General features: G+C 33.7%; 1 protein-coding gene across 6 annotated transcripts in view; it reads right to left on the reverse strand.

Annotated features, from left to right (window-relative positions):
* Positions 1-17,162, reverse strand: part of PCDH9 (protocadherin 9) — a 927,503-nt gene that overhangs the window by 656,878 nt on the left and 253,463 nt on the right. The gene's annotated exons all lie outside the window — the stretch shown is intronic.

A 17,162-nucleotide genomic window follows, 5' to 3' on the forward strand; every position in this document is an offset into this window, starting at 1 on the left:
CTGCACTCCACCCTGGGCAACAGAGTGAGACCCCGTCTCAAAAAAAAAAAAAAGAAAGAAAAAATAAAATAATATACTTTCATGACCTGATAACTTGAACTAAGAAGCTGGATTACCTTTTTTATTAAGTCACTGAACCTTAATCAATAAACTGGAAATCAGCATATTTTATGAAATACTTGAGACTCTATGTCAAAGTTTTTCACAGTTTCTGAACCCATTTAACTTCCTAAGAACATTGTCATTTCTTAGTGACTCAGTATTCTAAAACAGCATCTAACAAATCAGAATACTTATTAGGGAGAAATTTTGACACGAAGAAGAATAAAGGACAAAGTCTCAGAGAATTATCTGAAAGCTTTGTTTGCAAATTGACTGACATGCAAGAAAGATCCGTTTTTAAATTTTTGTAACTGGACTGAAATCAAAACACCTCTGCTGACCTCACATTCACTTACAAATATATTTAATTTCAAACAGAGCTTTTGATCATCAGCCAAAATTAGTTGTCAGTGTTCTATAAACATCTTACAAAAGCAGTTTAAAAGAAAATAATCACAAAAGAATGGCTTTAATTTTTTAAAGTGACATATAATTAAATATTTCTAAGCAATGCCATTTCATTGGACACTATGTGAATCAGAGTGCTTTGCTGACTACCATATAAGTTATAATCTACATATATTTCATCTACTGTCTTTCATTCAGTAATTTTGAAAACCCTATAAAAAATTCATGATGGAAACTCAAGCACTCTAAAGAATTTCAAAGGGCCACAGTGGTTGATGGAAGGAGTTGTTCTTCTGTTAATTAAATTCTGCCCAAGAAATAATGAAGGTCACTCTCATGTTATTATCTACTTCTTTGGATTTTACATGAAGTAGTAAAGATATAAATAACTTTTCTTTACAAACTGTAAATATTTTAGCCATTGATGTTACAATTATTACTTTTATAAAATTTATAGCTGGGCAGTTAAGAAAACATAAAATAGTAGCAATTCATTACAGTCTCAATGCACTGTATAGAATGAAGAAAATATTCTTCGAAGAGGTACAGAATCACTAACACAACTCATGTTAGTAACACTCAATCAGCTTACTAAAGTGTAAAAATCATGCTTATTTTGTTTTTCAAAATCACATATATTTAAGCATCTTGAGTTTTGTTTCTATTGAAGGTTAACCTGTTTAGAGTATCAATTGGTAAAATAATCAAAACACTACACAATTGATTTATTGGTCATCTCTGAAAAGTAGCAACTGTAAAAATCAATTTTAATGAATAAATATACACATACTTTTGTGTATTCAAACCTTTGTCTATCTTCTATTTGTGTCTTCAACTGATTTGTACTGACTTTAACTGACTATAGTACAAAAAATTTACCATGTCTATTTTTTAAAAAAAATACAGTTTAAAAATAAAACCAAAACAAACACTATAATTCTATTTAAAGTATGTGTTCCAATACTCCACTGGTGTTTCATTTTAAAAGTGGTGGTATGAAAACAATCAGAGAGTTCAGTGTTTTTTCTCTGCCTGTATGTGACATGGGGGTTATATTGATGAAATAAGGTCTGCTGGACTTTGAGCACAATAATGGCAAAAAACAAGCCACTTTTGTGTCAACATTGTGTTCCCAATACCAGACCCATCACCTGATGCTAAATAAATAATTATTGATTTAACTAACAAAATCAGTGGAATCCTTAAGTGGGACCTCAAAGGAAGGAATAGAAGCCTATATATACATTTTCAAAATTTAAGAAATATTGAAATTAAATTAAATCAATGAAAGGCTGGGTATGGTGGCTCAGGTCTATAATCTCAGCACTTTGGAAGACTGAGGTGAGGGGGTTACTTGAGCCCAGGAGTTTGAGACCAGCCTGAGCAACATAGTGAGTCCCCATCTCCAGAAAATTAATGTAACTTAAATGTTAACCCAATGTAAGGCTGCAAAGCCAAAAATATCAATTTTTTGGTTAGAATGAAATTGATTAAGAAAAATCACATTAATTTTTATGTTGATGATAAACTTTGATTATAAATCATAGATGACCAGGTGCGGTGGCTCATACCTGTAATCCCAGCACTTTGGGAGGCTGAGGCGGGTGGCTCACGAGATCAGGAGTTTGAGACCAGCCTGACCAACATGGTGAAACCCCGTCTCTACTAAAAATACAAAAATTAGCCGGGCATGGTGGCGTGTGCCGGTAATCCCAGCTACTTGGTAGGCTGAGACAGGAGAATTGCTTGAATCCGGGAGGTGGAGGTTGCAGTGAGCCGAGATTGTGCCACGGCACTCCAGCCTGGCGACAGAGCGAGACCCCATCAAGAAAAACAAAAAAACAAAACAAAAAAAAAAGAAAAGAAAAAAAAACATAGATATCTTTGGCTAATAAAAATTGTAAAACAAGCAATTTCTTAATAATTCATTTTGTCAAATTGGTTCCATTGGAGAGAGGGATAAGGAAAAGGATCTTTGATGAATAAAGTTTGGTGATGTATGACTAAGAATTTTAATCTTCTAAATGAAGACACATGTCACTCTCCTAGATCCACAGTAAGGTAGATAGGGATCTTAGGTATCTGCAGGTACTCCAGCACAGCTGCAAAACTGAATGAGTTAGAACAGCTTCTCAAGTACTTCCCAAGACACCTCCAAAGAAAAACACCACCAATGACAGTCATGTGTCACTTAATGAGGGTGATTAGAACTGAGAAATGTGTCATTGGGCAATTTTGTCATTGTGGGAACATCACAGAGTGCACAGACACAAAGCTAGATGGGATAGCCCACTATATACCTAGGTTATATGGTATAGGCTATTGCTTCTAGCCTACAAAACCTAGTGTTACTGTAGTAAATACTGGAGGCAATCATAACAAAGTGGTATGTATTGTGTATCTAAACATATCTAAATATAGAAAATATTGTATTATTATATTATGGAACCACCTTTGTATATGCAGTCCATCATTGACTGAAATGTTATTACATCACACTTGGCTGTATAAGGAGATCTTCCCTTTTATTTATAATGCATCAGTGGTCTCCAACTTTTTTGGCACCAAGAACCATTTTCGTAGAGAATTTCCCATGGATTGGGGTTGGGGGCCAGGGGTATTGGTTCAGGATGATTCAAGCACATTACATTTATTGTGCACTTTATTTCAATTATTATGTTGTAATATATAATGAAATAATTACACAGCTCACCATAATGTGGAATCATTAGGAACCCTAAGCTTGTTTTCCTGCAACTAGATGGTCCTATCTGCAGGTGATGGGAGATAGTGACAGATCATCAGGCATTAGATTCTCATAGGCACACAACCTAGAACCCTCGCATGCTCAGTTCACAACAGGGTTTGTGCTCCTATGAGAATCTAATGCTGCTGCTGATCTGATGGGAGGCAGAGCTCAGGCGGTAATGTGAGCAATGGAGAGCAGCTGTAAGTACAGATGAAGTTTTGCTTGCCAACACTCATCACCTGTTGTGCGGCCCTGGGCCCCTAATAGGCCAGAGACTGGTACCGGTTCATAGCCTTGGGGTTGGAGACTCCTATAACAGATCACTGAAAAATTATAGGAAAAGGCAAAGTGCAAAGATCAAACATTGGATTATTGTACTATGAAGAGAGGCGCAAAACATTGCATAAATTCCCAAATTACACCTTGGCTCTTAAGTACAATCTCATTTCCAGCATTTCATATTTGCTCTTTGGTTTACTTCCTTTTCATAAGTGAATATCCAGGAGTTAGGTTCCAACGGGAATCTAATTAAATTTTTAAAATCACTACTTTGATATTTTTAATGATTTCCTTACTAAGTGCACCACATTGATAGACTTTGATTTTTATCATTGGTGTTAGCACTTCTTAAAAATTTGTCCCCTTTTCCCGTTTAAATAATGCAGAGATTATGTGATATAATATTCAAATAATCTTATAAACACATGGGTTAAGCAAAAGCTACAAAGACAGGACCACCCTCTTCATGTGAACACTCCAAATATTCATTATTCTTCTTTCGGGATATAATAAAAAACAAAATTTAATAAGTCAACGTCCAATGAAATATGGGTTTATCAATCTAAAAGCAGAGAAACTTGTTTGTTTCTGACCTTGTGAATAGTAACAATTATGATAATGCAAACTTTTTATATTTTTTTGTGGAAATAGGTGTAACATGTTAGATGTTCTCTTAGGTTAAGTTCATGTGTCAAGTAACACATTAAAATTGTAATATAATAAATATTAAAACTACTAGCAATACTATGAGTAGTTTACAGACTTAATAATAAAACAAATAATAGATTAGATCTATGTGGATAATTTATGAGTTCTCTAACTGCAAAACATATATAAATAGTGCAAACTTAGTTGTTGCTTATATTCAAAAAACCAAAGATAACACGGATATCTTTATTGGTAACAGAGTAAGCATTATACAGACATGTAACAAAATATTATTCTCTATAACTTTCTGGAGAACATAATGCTGTCTAATGCATATAAAGATTAGGCTCAAATGGAGTACTTCCCTCTGTGCTTATATTTGTTACTTCCTCTAAGACAAGGGTAAGCATACCAGATAAAGACAGGCAAAACAAATCTAATGGTATTAGTAAACAAAAATCCATTAGGGAAATGAATTGTAGTGATTGTACACTTTAGCACTGAGAGAGAAAGAAATTCTACCCCTATGACCCAAAGCTATTGCATTCCTTGGCTTTGATCTACCAGGTCACTGTCAAATTCTCTACATTAGCTTTTTCACTTCAATGATTGCTTTAAGGTAACATGGACCTACTGTGTGCCTTTTATGACTCAATCTATTTATATCTCAATCTATGAGCAGAAATCATCTATGAAATGCTTTCCTGGGCAAAATGTAAAAAAAAAAAATATTCTTCAGGATTCTAACAAATTTTTAATTAAGGAATTTTTTTTTAATCTCTTGAGTCCTTTCTTGGCAAAATGTCTGTCAGAATGATAGACAAGATGCTATTTCAGAAATATTCCTTCACTTATCTAGAACAAATACCTATACATAAATACTCTTTTAAAGTGAATGTGTGTGCTCAAGATTAATTCATGTTGTAATTTTTTTTGACTGAGAGATCTGGGGCACATGAAAATTCAAGAGCATTACTGAATTACACACTTTGTATCTGCCTAACAATTGTCAACTAAAAGTCTAAAACTATTAAATATATATATATTCATTTACTAGAGATAATGCATTAAATAATTAGAGTCAGCAAGTTTTTGCACATTTTGGAGAAAAAATTTTAAACATTTCTTTTTAGAAATGAATAAAGTATTTAAAATTTTTGACATTGCAAAATATCCTTACATGAAGAAGAAAAAAACACACAGTTTAAAATAAAATAATTATGTTATATAATGAATAAAATTTAAAACTCCAGCTTACCCATTATTGGACAGTCTTAATTCTAATTTCTACTTTAATCAATATGCTGAAACTGGAAACTTACATCATGTAACCTTCCTTAACCACTTCAGCCAGTGTAGCCCTTTATTGTACTATTATAGGAGCTTATTCTTTTAAAGAGCATACTCAAATTAATCTCCTGATGTCAAAAAACACAATGGCCATTTCAACATCTGTTCTCATTTCCTTCCTCCAGGCATTTCCCTTCCCCCAGGATTTTCCCTTAATTTATCCAATTTTCATCTTTCCTCGCTAGCATTTCTGTGCCACTTTTTCTCACCACTCCATATGCTTAGGAAGTCTTCCAGATTACACTCATCAAGCTATTGCAGCCTCCTTTAAATGCCCCAAAAACAACCAGCTCAAAGATTCCAAATGTGACCTTTTAAAAGTCTCCTTTTCTTTTATTTATATTAAATTGTTTTTTTTCCCTCCGTCGGGGCCATCACATCTTAGATCAGAATTTTATTATTAATTGATTGCAGAAGTTTCCATAATTTATTTATTGTATTGCTTATGAATAAATGATTATCTTTAATCACAGCAACTCATTATGCCTTAATAACATCATGAAGGTGATAACATTATTACCATATTAATAGAATAAGTTCTGATTATTTTTAATGTCAGCTATAGTAATTGCATTGAACATAAGACAAAATATGTGAAAGTGATGTAAATTCTTATCTAAAAATATTTTATATATATTTCTTTAAAACATGCAAATCAATACCAAGTCATATATTAAGAGAAAAAGCCAGAAATTCAAGGTCAAAGAATACTTTACATTTTCAAGAATTGAATTTAGGTCACCTAAATCTTTTTGAAATTGTTCTCATTACTAATTTACGATATACATGAAGAAATAGCTGAATTGCATGCCATATTTTAAAAAAATATGTATCATATATTTACTTGGCTCTTCTTATTTCTAGACATGGAGATTAGGGGTTTTAAGCCAGGGAAGGCCTGGTTCATCTCCCACCTCAGCAACTCAGTACACACAAAATCTTGGGCAAGCCCCTTGGGTTTCTGAGCTTCTGTTTCCTCGTTTCCAAATAGGGACAATATTGACTACCCCTCCTACCAAACTTGTTGTTTAAGTTGTTTCAAGTATCAAATGAGGTAACATAAAACATGTTTATAAAAAATACCAATCTGAATAAGAAACAAGCGATGCAGTAGAAACTGTGGGTGATGAAAACAATTCCAAACTTTAAAACAGCTAAATGAAGGTGTGTACATAAATTCTTCAGCATGCTACTCTGTATGGCGTCTGTAATGATAGACCCTCAGTCGAGGCTGCCAATAAGGAGGATGTTCTCAGGAAAATAGAATCATTTACTAGGAAATACTCAGATATATTTCCTAGAAAGAGTAGAAGTGACAAGAAAAGCAGTTTTAGCAAAAAGCAGTAGAGAGGTTTAATCATTTCTTCAATTCATGTTTGCTACAAATTTCTATAATTCTATGATTTAAGATGACATTTTGTTAGCTGCCTTTATAGTGAAGTAAAAACTATTCACAGTGATTTTTGTGCCTGAGCTCTTTTGCTGAAGGGTCATGAGGGCATGACAGTGTTCATAGTTGCAGTGGCTCATCCAATAGAATATTAAAAAATGAAGTCTACAGTGAAGAGGTGGGAGAATGAGACAAGGAATATGAAATAGAGAAGAAAACTGGAAAATTATTATAGAGTTATTAGTAACTTTGAATCAGGATATGTAAGCAAATAGAATGGAATGGCATCAAGCCAAATGGGTAAACTAAAAGCAGACCGTAGTCTGACTCCCAAATATATGAATAAATAAACATATCAAATGCAAACTTCAGTGCTAAACTGGCAGATCAATGTAAAAGAAAAGGAACAAGGAAGGAGGACTATGCCAAGGTAGCTCCCAACCTGAAAATTGTGAAGTCAGATTTAAAGAACCAAGTATACTATACTCTGTCAAACATAAGACAGATTCCAAGTTATGTTAGAGAAAAAAATCACTTAAAATGGCAGAATGTATCTAAATCCTCATAATGGTGAGGAGAAGAAATAGTTCATTTAGTCTTATATATATGTATGCTCATTAATTGACAGGTGGAATTATTCGTAGTGATATCAAATTAATCCAGTTGTTTAAAGCCACACTGTCCAACATTGTTGCTATTCACCACATATAGCTATTTAAATTTAAACTAATAAAAATTAAATAAAATTTGAAAGTTAGTTCCTCAATCACACTTGTCACATTCAGAGTGCTCAGAAACTGCCTGCAGCTATTGCATTGGTTAACATACATATAGAACATTTCCATCACTGCAGAAAGTTCTTTAGGAGAGTGCTGTTTTAGTGTAATAGAAATTTTCCTAATATTGAGACATACATGCATATTTAATAAGTAACAAGTTTACCCAAATCCATAGATAAGTCCAATACAAGACTATAACACTGAATGCAAAATAACAACAAATTATACAAATACAAAAAAAAATTTTTTCTTAACAAATGCTATGCAAAAGTCTTTAAATCAGACTAAGTATTTTGACATCCAAGTTTTAATTTGATCATTGTATTTTAACCTGTTAAACTCTACTATAGAATTTACATTTACCGGATAATTAGAAGATTTGGGGTGGCTTAGATGGTCCTTCATTGAATCCTAGAAAATGATGCTATTATCCATGTTATGTCATATACTTGTCTCTGTTTATTATTTTTGAAGCCCTGGTACCTGGCATGTATTCAGTTCATGTTTGTGGAATGAGGGAGCCTCTCATCCAGTTCTAACAGGAGATCATTCAGCATCTGCTTCAACACTTACATTGGCAAGAGATTTACCACCTCATAAGGGAAAGCATTCCATTTTTAGCAGTTCTGTTAGAAAGAAGCTACTTCATTACAGAAAATCCAAATTTACCTGCTTATATAACTTCCAGTAATCTTATGTTTTGTCAGATAAAGTTTAAAAGAAGTTTATTTTTTTCCATGTAAAAGCTTTTTAAATACTTGCAGGTGACTATAACACTTTCCCAACCAACTATCCTTACATGGCTTTATTTCCAGATGCTTCTTTGTCATCTTCTAATTTTGCAATGTCTCTTAAAATGCAGTGTCCAAAACATTACATTATCTTCAAGCTACTCTGATCAGGGCAGACAACTATGGGAATTACCCCCATGGCTTTGTACGGTATACTTCTATTAAAGATGCCCAAGATTCCATTAGCTTTTCTTGGCATTCTCATCACAGCATGACTCATAGTCCACTTACAATCAACTAAGAGTTCCTACCTAAGTCTTTAAGATGAGATGTTGTCAAATCACGACTCCTTCGACCTTGCTTCTTTTATTGGTTTCTTGTATTAGAGTGGAGGACCTTATTTCATGCTGATGGCACAGGTATATTGTTTCCATTGGTTAAGATTTTCTAAACTTTGATTCTGTTAATCGGCTAATACATTAGCTATCAATTCAACTGTGCATTGCTTGTAAATATGATAAGCATAACCTATCATACATTAAAATCATTGTTAAAAAATAGTCCAAGTACAAATGCCCATATCACAACACCAGAAACCTCCTTCTAAGATGATATCCACATATTACCAAATTTGATTATTTATTATGTTTTAGGAGCCACAAATATATGATCTTTAACTGTTATAACAACCATTTAGTGTGCTATTCACATTTTTTAGAAAAAGAAATTAAAAATATGAATGACTGAATATCAGTTAAGGAGAGCTAGAATTCCAGTGGGGACCTTCTCAATCCACAGCCTGCCTGTTACCACAGAACACAAAGATTCCCTTTAAGTATCACTGGAACCCTTTAGCTGTAACATGTCGAGCATATTCATCTATTTGTTTCCCTGAAATAGAGGAAAGACTGTCAAAAGCCATACTGGCATTGCTAATTTATTTCTTAGCATTTCAGTAAGCTGTCAATCAATTTTTTCAAAATTAAAAATGAATTTTATTCGGTACTCTCGCTACTGTGAATACCGCTTAGTGATTTGATTTTTGATTTTTTTAACATTTGCAACGCACCTAATTTTCAACCCATACTTTGTTATGAATCAGTGTTAAGCCCACTGATTTTTATTTTTTAGAATCCATCATTTAAGCCTTTTTGGAATTCAGAGCCTCAAAAAGTGAATGTTATATGTGGACACTTTCCATTTCAATGTCTTATTGCCCATTGTTATATTCAGCAGCTTATTGCCCATTGTTATATTCAGCAGCTTATATACTAATAATAAATTGAAATCACTACAGTCTAGAGCCTACAATTATGTTGATAGCATAATCCTGTCAGGTGAAAGAATGTTGTACAGTACTCTTGAATTTCAATAGTATGATTGAGAAATCTCAATTTGACTTTCTTGCCCAGCACTTTCTGCATAAAACAGGATTATGCACACCAATTAAATACCTCTCTTACAAACCATTTTTTTCAATAACAAGCATTGATTGATTCACTTTATACTATTTGTTACCCAAAATCTCAGAAACGTTTGTGCTTTAACCTAAAGCATCTAAAATGGGATTTTTTATCAAAATTCCATTTTCACAGATATACACAGACTCAATTATAGAAGCTAAATGTTTTCTTAATATCAGTTATGAGATTTTCTTCATATATAAATCTGAAATGGGACATGTATACACTCTCGAAGCACAATTAGCTGCTTTTTATTTTGGAGAGGGAAAGTCTAAAGCAAAAGTGCTTTCTGGAAAAATCACAAGTCTTAAATCAATCATATTAATAACAACTATATTTTAGTTCTTGGTTATGTATCCAAAGTAAGTGCATGTATGTGCATTTTAAGATGTTATTCTAGTTACAATTGTCCCTTTTAATGCAATTATAAATACACTCTGAAAGAGGAAATGGAAAAACAAACCTGCCTCAGACATTCTTGCAAAGAAAAACTAGATCATCTCACACCTAGACAAGTTGTTCCAGGTTGATGCTTCTTTAAACTGATTAGAATTTCAGAAAATCTAGTGGCATTACAACTAGAGATAGTGTGATGATTATTACTTTCACATAATTTTCACTGCAGAAGAACCTAAAAAATAATTTGTTGAAATGTGTAGTATTATGTGGGTCTTCGTGCATACTGAGAATAACAAGTTATTTCTTTGGCAGCCCTTAAGAAAAAAATAGAGTTAAAGTCTGGGCATGGTGACTCAGGCTGGTAATCTCAGAACTCTGGGGGGCCAAGGAGGGTGGATCACTTGAGGCCAGGAGTTCAAGACCAGCATAGGTAACATAGCAAGAACCCCATCTCTACAAAAAAAATAATAAATAATAAAAATCAATCAGGTGTAGTGATGCATGTGTGTGGTCCTGACTACTGGGGAGGCTGAGACAAAAGGATTGCTTCAGCCCAGGATTCAAGCTTACAGGGGTTCATGCCACTGCACTCAAGCCTAGGAATGAGACCCTGTCTGAAAAAAAAAAAAAAAAGCAAAAAAAAAAAAAATGCTTAGCCCCCATTCTCACACATATCCAGGATTTTTCTCCTTAGTCCTCACTCTGGATCCCTTCCCAATTTTGAGACTGATCCTAACATTTTTAGAGGGCAGTAGGAGTGTTTCTGGCAGTGAAATTTGTTATTCCCCAATCCATTCCCCATCTCCATTATACATACAAGTCACTGAGGGCATCTGTTTATTTATTTATCTTTTTAACAAAGGGCTAACCTATATCGAATTCTTATGTCTAGCCTATAATGATCAGTGTCAGAATGGCTGCCTATTCAGTCTAATTATTTGACCATCTTATCTATGCAGATCACTGTGCAATTGTGTCAGTCCTAGATATTGATCAAAGAGGGCCAAGTTGTGCAGATCTGTGGCCATGCATGAGCTCAGCTTTCTAACCACAGTTCTGCATATTTGAAGTCTATTTGGACAAATTGTGAGTTTTTAGACTCTTCTGCCTTTTAAATGGCAGTATAATACTGTGCAGTTGTCCTCTAACACTCTGTACTGTGATTCACTCGTCTTCAGTGCTGAGAACAGTCAGGAAATTTTCATAGATTACAATAATGTATATCACAAAGGATACACGATTGTGTTATTCATATGTGTAATCACCCATGGACTAACTAGAAATAACAGTGGTCTTATTATGCAAACAGCAGTCCATAATATGCAAATGAATATAAACAAAACCAAACACAAACCTGCAGAATAATGTTTACTGATTTGTCCTTAAAAATCCCTTTTTTAAAAATCGCATTTTCCTGTCTTCTCAAAAACATTAAATAACATCAAGGATGAATGCATGAAAAAGTTTATATTTTCTCTTTTGCATTTTTGAAAAGGAACCACAATATAATCTTATTCTGATTATTCGATTTATATTCTCCCAAGGCCATTACTGCCTCCTGGCATCATTATATGCTTGTGTAAGGTTTATATGGTGTCTCTTTTAATTGCTTAAACTAATCTATTCAATGACTGCAAATCTAATGCACACTGGAACAGGCAGCCCATAAATTCCATCCTTCAGAGGTATCCTTGAACATGTGTTTGTCCTGATGAAGAGCAGAAACAAAACAAGAATAATAAAATGAAAGAAAGTCTTGTCAAATAATATATCTGAAAGAACTTAGAAACCCAAAACATATTTTAGTTAAAGAAATAAAAATAAATTAGTCCTTGCTGTTTCACATTTTTGTAAGGAATTATTCTAATTACACTCAGTTAAGTCTTCGAGCTATTGTTAAAGGTGTACCATATGGAAGGATAATATTCGATCTTAATATATTAGATAATATATGATCTTAATATAATTAATGTTATTATAAATGTTGGTTTAGGTATATAACCTCCATCGAATGGAAACATTCTTAACACCAAGGAAGAAAATTAAGTTGGGCCATGATAACTGTTTGCATCTGAATCTTACATATACTATTGTACACTGATTCTAGAAAGCTCCACCTGAATGTATTGCTAATACACACACATGTACACACAGAATCATACTGCAACACAAGAAATCAAATTACTTACAAGGGTAATTTTTCTAGTTATTAGACATAGAATTACTGAAAGATATTCATAGCTACATCATCTTCTGTGTTAAACAGAATAATTAATTGTGTTTTTCTACCAAATATACAAGAATAATTACAGACACAAATAGTAGTAGAAGAGGAGGATGAGACAATTATCATAAAACCTAGAAAAAAATTAATAACTTTCTCTTAAAAGTATATTTTCTGCATACCGCCCTATTTTTTGATGGACCTTTTCTTAACTTGCATTATAACCTAGTATTATATCCTGAAGAAGAACACGGCTTAAGTCATGCAAATTATGTGTTTTCAGTCATTCCTCTCCTTAATAAATGACTTTTGCTATTCTCCTCACCAAGCATATCTGTGATTTTTTAAATTCATATTTCTCAAACCACTAGAGCATAGTTTACAATAAGTCCTGAAATAACTAATTTGTGGCCTAGCTATTGAGATCTATGGCAGTTTCCACAAGTGTCAGTCTGAAATCCTGGTTTGCTATCACATTTATTTTTTCACAAGAATGTTCTGACATAGCTCTCGTCTCCATTACATTGATACAGAAACTCTGAAACTGGTTTTGGAAACTTCAGTCACTGCTAATTCTTATTGAAATTTTAACTCTATGACTCACACTTGTACTTGTCCTGCCTTTAAAATAATGAAATAAGATAAAGAAATAAACTAAGTTAGATGACTAGTCACTTTCTTTTCTTTGCCCATGCATTATATGGGCAAATATAAATTCATCCGGTATCAGATAAACAGCAAAGTCGCTTTAGAGACTTTCTTTCTTTCCCTGTTTTCCATGTAGTATATCCATCTTCTTTCCAATCAGCACCCTGTAAAACATAACTGGATGTAACCATACTCTGAAACTGCTACCTGGCTTCCTTTGAATTCAGGTCCTACTTCACTGAATTGTAGTATCACTGGGAGAATTAGCTCTTTGAGGAGCTCTACATTTTGTTCTTGTGGCTTCCCTAGAACATTGTCCTTGGTCCAAATTTTCAGCAATCACCTTTTCTCCTAATTCCCACCAGCCATATACTGAACACTATGATGCCTTTTGAAATAATGCTTTAGTCCTTCAGAAATCTAAAGGTTCACTTTTATTTTTTTAATCCTTTCTAGTAACATAAGTTGATACAAGCAAGAACAAAAGCAAACTGTTAAAATCAAGATGCCCAAACATGGCTATTTAATTAAAAGAATGCTCATGAGACTAGACAGAACTCCACAGACAGCTAGAAAAGGAGGAGGAAACGACCAATATTGGAGGTCCTCAAAGAAAAAGGAAGAGGTGACAGAATGGGTGTCTAGGCCAGTGTTTCAAAATACTTTGATCATGTACATGAATCAGTTTAAAAAATAAAACGTGAAGATAAACCTGCTAATCATCTATTCATTTTTAATCATATCCATGTACTTTCATTGTTAGCTAACCTATCAAGGCATGATACAAACCTTGGGTGAAAGTCATCATTCATAACAGATGGACAGTTTAAATAACTGATTTCAAATAACCTTTACATTTTCAATTTTTTGTATTACTTCTTATTGGATCAGATCATGTTAGTTTTTAAAAGGTATAATGTGTCTGACCTAAAACTTATTCTAACAGTAGAGGAGCCATTTCCCCAAGGTTTGTTAGCATTTGCTTGTATTTTGTTTACTTTTGCACACTGTCCATTTGAAAACAAACACATCTACACTTGCTGAGAATTTGTTTAGTTACAATAGAATAATAGGATTGCTATTTTGCTTAACAGGAGTATGGAAACTGGAAGCTGGAACATGATACATTACAGTGAAAGCAAATGTGTGATAAAGGATCCACTATGTTCCATGTTAGAACTCACCTACGCTTCCCTCAGCATACCTTACAAAGCTGCGCATGACCACAATGACCTTCGTGATGGGGGTGAGTCTGTCTGTATTTTAAATACCAAAAGGTTAAATTTATTTCTTATCTCCAAGAACAAAATGATATGAGAGTCTAATATATTCCATACACTACAATGCATCCTCTCAACTACCTCTCAGGGAGTGTGCCCCCAACTTTGGAAGCTCCTGAGGTAATGGAGTAGCTGCAAAGGATTGTAGAAAAGAAAATCTCAGCTCTGCTTTCCCTGACCTAACCCCTTTCTCTCCTTCCCTCTCAAGTTACAACCCCTTTTCAGAGTCACTCTAATGCCTACGTGGTTCAAGTTTCAGCTTTCAACTATAGTCTTGGAATGAGGAAGGCTTGCCTCCATCTGTACAGAAATTGGATTGGAAAAGAAGTAGGGAAGTGGGTAGATTATAGCCCAGAGTTGAGGGGGAGACAGTCCTGGCATCTCATTTTTAACTTCTGAAGGCATTTTCCCATACTACAGTTATGTATTAGTAATATTCTATAGAACTGTTTCTTGCGGTAATTTATTGGCAAATTGTTTGTGACCTACTCTATGCGCCTAACTCCTTAAAGCACATTAAAGCATCTTTCTAGTTTCAAACAATTGAGCTTAATTACACATTTTAGAAACAAATCCCATTCATAAATGACAAGTTGCACATATACAGAATTTCAGTTCTTAGGCCAGTTGAGAGTTGAAAACAGCTTTACAGTGAAATTTTATATTGTGGAGTTTAATTGTGAGCGACTGAACATGCAGTACGATATGAACTATTCACCTTTTCTGCAACAGTGTTATGACATAACCTGGTTTAAATAAGACAGTTTTAACCACATAGTAGTTAAATGACTTTTGATATGACACTAATAAAAGCCTGTCTATGTTAGAGATGCTTAGGTTTTTACTCCTTTGTTTATTTTGAGAATATTAATCATTGTACTAAACTAATAAAAGAAAATTGTGGGTTTAAAGCTTCCATTAAAAAGTCCTTATCTTCACCATGAACTAGCATGATAAATGCCTAGAAAGCATCTCTGTCTATCCTAGTGGAATTTATAGTGAACAGAAGAGACACAGATAGGCCATGTCATAGAAAGCAGAAATCTAAATGACCTCAAATTAGTGAATTATAACAATCAGAATTACTTTTAACGCTATTTGGAGAGATCTCAATAAAATATGAACTATTTGGGAAGGAAGATACAATCCATTCTAACGACAAATTATCTCAATGGATTTTTTGTTAGGATAAGGACTAATAATGGTTTCAACATTTGCTCTGTGTTAGACATTGTCATAAATGGCTTATGCTTATGAAGTTATTTAAACTAAAAACCATCCCGCTAGGTAGATAGTTATTATTGTTTCCATTTGATAGTTAGGAAAACAAAAGCACAGATACATTAAGTAATTTTCCCAAGTGCACCCAGCTAGTGAAATGAAATCATTTCTGAGAAATTCAAAACATGGAGTCAATGCTAAACATTTTTTAGAGCAAAGAGAAAGAGAGGGAGGTGGAACAGGGGACAAGGAGACGGAAGAATCTTTCAACAGTCATTACTGTATCATTAATGCTCTCATTCAGCAAACCTTTATTAAGCGCCCACTATGTGCCAGGAACCAGATAACTAGGTGCCAGAAATACAAAAATAATGTACTTGACCTTGGGAAGATCTCCGTATAGTAGAGGAAATAGAAATAATTGCCATAAAATATGGTAAGAGGCAATATATTTATACACCAAGTGCTATAATATCATCCCCCTCCAAGAGGAACTTTACAATGAGTGGAAAGTAATACATTTCTAAATAAACCTGTGGAAGAGCAATTCAGTAATCAGTGAGATACAGTTAATCACAGAAAACAGTCTATAAGAGGTGAATTTTGCTACGTTTTTAAAGAAAGGATAAGAAGGTGAAATTGGTAGAGAAAAATAGGGCCTTCAAGAAAATATTTCTGTTGAAAGATAGGGCATGTACAAAGTAAGACAGGAGACGGTCCCTCTGTCCTTTGAGGAAAAAAATACACAAAGTGTCTGCTGCCTACTGTCTCATCCAATCCATCTAACTGATATTCTTCAATTCTAAAATCCCCTCATTGGCAAACTACTTTTCAGTTGCATGCAGTTATTTATTTATTTTAGTTTTAAATATTGGAGGAAAAATATTGATTATTCATTTTAAGTAATTAATAGAAATGTATAGAAGATATGGTAGTAGTCTATGTAAAGTAGTCAATCTAAAGAACACATAAACTGGAGATGTATTTAAAGTTATACTGGGCAACTTTCATATGGGTATGGTTTGAGGATTATCTGAGCCCTTTGGGTGAAACTCATTTTCTCTATGGAATCTTTCAGTACCTGAATTTTTTCCAGTAAAATAACTCTTTGAGTTTCAAATGACTTTTCATAAATAAACTGTAGATCACCCTCCATAAGACACATGTCTTATTACCATACATACAATATTTTACTGGGAGTAGCAATTCCATAAACCCAACAAGGCTCAAGACCAATATGAACAACAGAAGTCAATACTTAGGCAAGGCAGGTAGAGCTAGGATCAGAACAAGCGCCTTTAGGTGGAAGTCAGGGTAGATGGGAAAAACAGATACAAACTGTAATTTGTCATTTGTATGACCTGTATCTAGTCCAGGATATTACACTTTATCTGTAATCAAGTAAGAAAAATAAGGATAAATCTGATGTTTGGGAAAGTGCAGAGAGTTTATTTTACCTTTGTTTTTATCCATAGGACCACCTTTATTATC

The sequence above is a fragment of the Homo sapiens genome, chromosome 13 (genome assembly GCF_000001405.40).
Source record: "Homo sapiens chromosome 13, GRCh38.p14 Primary Assembly".
In the NCBI taxonomy this organism is placed as follows: Eukaryota; Metazoa; Chordata; class Mammalia; order Primates; family Hominidae; genus Homo; species Homo sapiens.